Source organism: Homo sapiens, chromosome 1, assembly GCF_000001405.40.
Source record: "Homo sapiens chromosome 1, GRCh38.p14 Primary Assembly".
NCBI classification, from domain to species: domain Eukaryota; kingdom Metazoa; phylum Chordata; class Mammalia; order Primates; family Hominidae; genus Homo; species Homo sapiens.
The window spans coordinates 658,736-665,588 of NC_000001.11; positions in this window are offsets into that span (position 1 = coordinate 658,736).

Sequence of the window (6,853 nt, forward strand, 5' to 3'; positions counted from 1 at the left end):
TAGGAAACCAGAAACCAGGCTGGGCGCTAAAGATGCAAAGATGAATGAGACATCATCTCTGCCGTCCAAAAGCTTACTGTCTAGTGGGAGAGTTACACACGTAAGGACAGTAATCTAATAAGAGCTAATAAGTGAAAACTAAGATAAATTAATAATACAAGATTACAGGGAAGGTTTCCAAAGTCAATGAGGCCTCAAATGAATCTTGAAAGTGTGCAAGGATTAACCAAATGAAGAAATGTGTAAGTTTTTCAAACAAAAAGGAACAGCATGAGCAAATGCAAGGAGGCCTAAAATAAAGAGATGTGTAAAGAGGTGTAAGCAGCTTTGTACTGCTGCCTGATAATTAGAAGAATATCGGGAGTAACAAGAGCTATAGAAGAGAGTCACAATTACGGAAAAATATTTATTAAATTATAAGAAATTTATAGCATAAGGAATAGTAGGACCGTTAAATGTTTTAATAAAGATGATGCTTCTTTTTTTAATATTTATTTTTATTATACTTTAAGTTCTAGGGTACATGTGCACAACGTGCAGGTTACATATGTATACATGTGCCGTGTTGGTGTGCTGCACCCATTAACTCATCATTTACATTAGGTATATCTCCTAATGCTATCCCTCCCCTCTCCCCCCACCCCACAACAGGCCGCGGTGTGTGATGTTCCCCTTCCTGTGTCCAAGTGTTCTCATTGTTCAAGTCCCACCTATGAGTGAAAACATGCGGTGTTTGGTTTTTTGTTCTTGAGATAGATGATGCTTTAAATTGACCACTCTAGCTGCATTGTGGGAGGAAAAAAGATTTTAGAACAAGACTAGAAACAGAATAATTAGAAAAATGCAACTACAATGCAGATGAGTGATTATCAAGGTCTGAACTGAATAGTGGAAATAGAGATAAGGAGGCAAATTCAAGATATGTGCGTGACAGTAAAATTAACATGACCTGGTGTTTGATTGACTCTGTAAAGTGAAAGGAAAGGATGAATAATCAACAAATAATATTTATTCTACCAAATGCCTCCATGCCGCTTTGATGACAGGATAATATGTAAGCTTTTCTATATTTCAGAAACTATATGACATGACGAAAAGTAAAAAGGGGATGGGGGTAAGGAGGTATCCTGAATTGACTGAGAAATAAGGAGGTATTCCACAGAGAATATAAAAAAACATATACTTAGTGTTCAAGGAATAATAAAAAAGAGAACATCTATGTGTCCACCATACAGGATATGAAATAGAACATTTGCCGGCCATGGTGGCTCACACCTGTAATCCCAGTACTTTGGGAGGCCGAGGTGGGAGGATCACTTAAGCCCAGGACACAGGTTGCAGTGAGCCAAGATCACACTATTGTACTCCAGCCTGGGCCACCATGTCTCAGAAAAATAAAAAAACTAGATGTCTTGGAGGATTGGAAACAAAATAGAACTTTACTAGTGCCTTAGACGCCCATTGGGTGCTCCTTGCCAATTGTGTTCTCCTTTATTTCCTGCTGGATATGACCACTGTCCTTCCATTGCATTGTATGTGTTTTTTAATAGACTTTAATGGTTCTCAAGTGATGCATTATTTAGTTTGGTTCTTTGAAACTTATATAAATGAAATTATTTTGTAGAAGTTCTTTCACCTTTATCAGAAGGTACTTTCACCTTGATTCAATAATAAGTTTGCATATTACAACCTTGTTGAATGTTGGTGTAATTCATCCATTCGTATTGCTATATGATATTCCACTACATGAATATGTCGGACTTCATTCCTCAGATCTATTGTTGATGAACACTTGAAATTTTTCCAGTTTTTAACTATTACAAACAATGCTGCTATGAACATTCTTTTGTAAATCACCTGGTTCATATGTGCAAGATATCCTCTGGGGTATATATTTAAAAGTAAAATTATTGAGTTATTCAACATTACCATGAAATGCTACACTATTTTTTTTAACAATCCTACCAATTTACACTTCTACCACGAACAGATAAGCATTACCATTGGTCTTCATTTGTAGGAACCATATTTGTCTTTTGCTCTGGGGGCTTTGTTTTGTTTTGCTTTGTTTTTTGCTTAGAAGTGCTTTGGCTATTAGGGATCTTTTTTTGGCTCCATGTGAACTTTAGGATTTTTTTTTAATTTTGTGAGAAATAACGTTGGTAATTTGATGGGAATTGCATTAACTCTATAGATTGTATGGGTGATATGGTCACTTTAGCTATTGATTTTTCTAATCCGTGAGCATGGGATGTTTTTCCATTTGTTTATGTCATCTATAATTTCTTTCATTAGTATTTTGTAGTTCTCCTTGTAGAGATCTTTCATTTATATAGTTATGCATTCCTAGGTATTTTTCATGGCTATTGTAAATTCAGTTGAGTTCTTAATTTGGTTCTCAACAAATTAATCTCAACAAACATTCAAACAGCTTGAATGTATTTGGTGTATAGAAATACAACTGATTTTTGTGGCTTGTTTATCCCAAGACTTTACTGAAGTCGTGTATCAAGTCTAGGAGTCTTCTGAAGACTTTAGGGTTTTCTAGGCCTACAGTCATGTCATCAGTGAGCAGAGATCATTTGACTTCTTTTCTAATTTGTATACCTTTTATTTCTTTCTCCTTTCTGATAGTTCTGGCTAGCACTTCCAGTACTGTATTGAATAGGAATGATGAAGGTGAACATCCTTGCTTTTTTCCAGTTTCTAGAAGCAACACTTCTAACTTTTGCCCATCCAGGATGATGTTGGCTGTGGCTTTGTCATAGATGACTCATTTTTTGAGGTATACTCCATCTATACCTATATTGTTGAGGGTTTTTATCATAAACAGATGTTGGATTTTATCAAATGCTTATTCTGCATCTAATGAGATGATCATAGGGTTTTTGTTCTCAGTTCCATTTATGTGGTGAATCATGTTTATTGATTTGTCTATTTTGAACCATTCAAGCACCCCTGGAATAAAGCCCACTTGATCATGATGAATTATCTTTTTGATGTGTTGTTAGCTTCAGTTTGCTAGAATTTTGTTGAGTATTTTTACATCTGTGTTGATCAGGGATAAGGATTTGTAGTTTTCTTTTGTGTTCTTTTTAAAATTTTCCTTGTTAATTTTACTGCACAGTATTATTTTAATGATGAATAAAGTGTTGAGCTGGACATGTGTACCTTGTTCCTCATGTTACAATGAAACTGTTTAATATGTCATGATTATTTATAATGTTGAGAGTAGTTTTTGTGTATATATTAAGATATTTACATCAGTTCTCTTCTATTCCTAGTTTGTTATTATTACAAATAGTTTCAAATGTGAACAAGTGCTTTTCCCACAGCTATTGAAATAACCATATTTTGTTCTTTTATTCAGTTAATGTGGTTAATTTCATTGTTTGGTTTTCTAATTTTAAACCATACATTCTTGAAATTACTGCACTTAGTCACGATGTATTTTTCTTTGGAGTATATTGTTGGATTATATTTGCAAACATTTTTGTTTAGAATTATTATGTAGTATATTAGTCTGTAATTTCATTTCTTTTAATATCCCTGTATGGTTTTACTATCATGGAGGTACCACCATATAAAACAAGTTGGAAAGTGTTATGTCTTCCCAATTCTCTAAAAATATTCATGTAACATTGGCATTATTTCTTTATTAAATATTTGGTAATATTTCTTTATTAAATATTGCATCCACCTAGCCCTGGAGTTCTTTCTACAGGAAAAAAAAATTTTCTAAATAAAATTTCTACAATGAAAAAAAAACTACTCAGTTTTTCTAGTTTTTTTCTGATCATTTCATAAAAGTAGGTATTTTTCATAGGAACTTGACCATTCCTTATGATTGTCAAATTTATTAATATAAAGTTTCATATTTTATATTTATTTTATCAGATAAATAAAATTATATGTTTTGAAATATATATTCATTGTAAAATAGCCATGTTAAGCTAACATATGCATTACCTTACATGCTTATCTTTTTTTATGAGAACACTTAAAAATCTACTCTTAGCAATTTTGAAGAATACAAGTACATCCCCTATGGAGAACAGTTTGAAGGCTCCTCAAAAAAGTAAAAATAGAGCTACCATGTGGTCCAGCAATCCCACTGCTGCATATATACCCCCCAAAAAAGAAATCAGTATATCGAAGAGATATCTGCACTCCCGTATTTGTTGCAGCACTATTTACAATAGCGAAGTTATGGAGTCAACCTAAGTGTCCATCAACAGATGAATGAATAAAGAAAATGTGGTACTTATATACAATGAAGTATTATTCAGCCATAAAAAGGAATGAGACCCTGTCATTTGCAACAACATAGATGAAACTGGAGGTCATTATGTTAAGTGAAATAAGCCAGGCACAAAAAGACAAATACTATGTGTTATCACTTATATGTGGAATCCAAAAAGCAAACAACTGAACTCATGGAGATAGAGAGTAGAAGGAAGTATACCAGAGGCTGTGAAGGGTAGTGGGGGTTGGGAGAGGTGGGGGATGGTTAATGGGTACAAAAAAAGAAAGATTTAATAAGACCTAGTATTTGATAGCACAACAGGGGGATTGCAGTCTAAAATTCAATTATACATTTAAAAATAACTGAAAGAGTATAATTGGATTGTTTATAACACAAATAATAAATGCTTGAGGGGATGAATATCCAATTTTCCATTATGTACTTATTGTACATTGCATGCCTGTACCAAAATATTTCATGTACCTCATAAATGTATACACCTGCTATGTACCCACAAAAATTAAATTTAAAAACAATACATTGTTATCCACTATAGTCACCATATTGCACAATAGATCTGTTGAATTCATTCCTCCTGTACAATGCAATTTTGTACCCTTTGACCAACATCTACCCAATCCTCCTGGTAACCATCATTCTACTCTGTACTTCTATGTGTTCAGCCTTCTTAGACCTCCACATACAAGTGAGATTATGCAGTATCTGGCTTTCTGTGCCTGGATTATTTTACTCAGTATAATGTCCTCCCGGTTCATTCATGTTGTCACAAATGATACTTTTTTTATTTTTTAAGGTTGTATACTATTCTATTGTGTATGTGTACCACATTTTCTTCATCCACTCATGTGTCGATGGATACTTAAGTTAATTCCACATCTTGGCTGTTGTGAATAATGCTACAATAAATATGGGAGTACAGATAACTCATTGACACACTGATTTGATATCTTTTTAATATATGCCCAGAAATAGCATTACTGAATCATATGGTAATTCTATTTTTACAGAATCATTTATACTGTCTTTTACAATGGCTGAAATAGTTTACATTCTCAACAATTACAAGGTTTTCCTTTTCTCCACATCCTCTCCAACACTTGGTATCGTCTGCCTTTTCTGTAACAGCCATTCTAACGGATGTGAAATGGCATTTTATTGTAGTTTTAATATGCATTTCTCTGATGATCAGTGATAATTAGCATTTTTATATATCTGTTGGCCATTTGTATGTCTTCTTTTGAGAAATGTCTATTTAGATCCTTTGTCAATTTTTCATTAGGGTTCCTTGTTTTCTTATTATTGTGTTGTTTGAGTTCCTAAGATATTTTGGACATTAGCCTCTTATCAAATGTATAGTTTGCAGATAATTTCTCCCATTTTGTAGGTTATCACTTCACTCTGTTGACTTTCTTTTGCTGTGCAGAAGCTTTTTAGGTTGATGCTATTCCATTTGTGTTTTGTTGCTTTTCTTGCCTGTGCTTTAGAGTCATATCATAAAATATTATTGCCCAGACCAATGTCTTGGAGTTATTCCCCTGTTTTCTTCTAGGAGTTCTATAGTGCTAGGTCTTACATTTAAGTCTAACTTATTTTGAGTTTATATTTTTATATGGTATGAAATAAGGGCCTAATATCAATCTTGTGGACATTCAGTTTTCTCAACACCATTTTTTGAAGAGACTGTTCTTTCCCCATGTGTGTTCCTGGCACCTTTGTTGAAAGTCAATTGACTATAATATGTAGATTTATTTATGGGCTCTTTATTCTGTGTAATTGGTCTATGTGTCTGCGTTTATGCCAGTACCATGGTGTTTCGATTGCTATAGCTATGTAGTATAATTTGAAGTCAGGTAATGTGATATCTCCTGCCTTGCTTTTTTTGATCAAGATTATTTTGGCTTTTCAGAGTTTTTTGTGATTCCATACAGATTTGAGAGTTGTTTTTCTATTTCTGTGGGAAAATGTCATAGGAATTTTGATAGAGATTGCATTCAATATGTACATCACTTTGGATAGTATGGACATTTCAAACATATTACTTTTTCCAATCCATGAACATGAGATATCTTTCCATTTATTTGTGGCTTCTTCAATCGCTTTCATCAATGTTTTGTAGTTTTCAGTGTAAAGATCATTCACCTCTTTGTTTAAATTTACATCTAAGTATTTTTTGTTGCTATTATAAATAGGATTGTTTTCTTGATTTCTTTTTTTGTATAGTTTGTTGTTGATGTGTAGAAATGCTACTGAATTTTGTATGTTCACATTGTATCCTGCAACTTTACTAAATTCATTTATGAATTCTAAATTTTTTGGCAGAGTTATTGGTGTTTTCTATATATAAGATCATGTCAACTGCAAACAGAAACAATTTAACTTCTTCCTTTCCAATTTTCATGCCTTTTATTTCTTTCTTTTGCCTAATTGCTCTGGCTAGGACATCCAGTACTATGTTGAATAGAAGTTCTGAGAGTGGGCACCCTTGTATGAAGTTTCCCACAACATCTCTTATCTTTTTATTAGCTATATATTAATACGGATGTTTCTTCTTCATCAGGAGTTTGAAAAATATGTCTTTTCTCTATA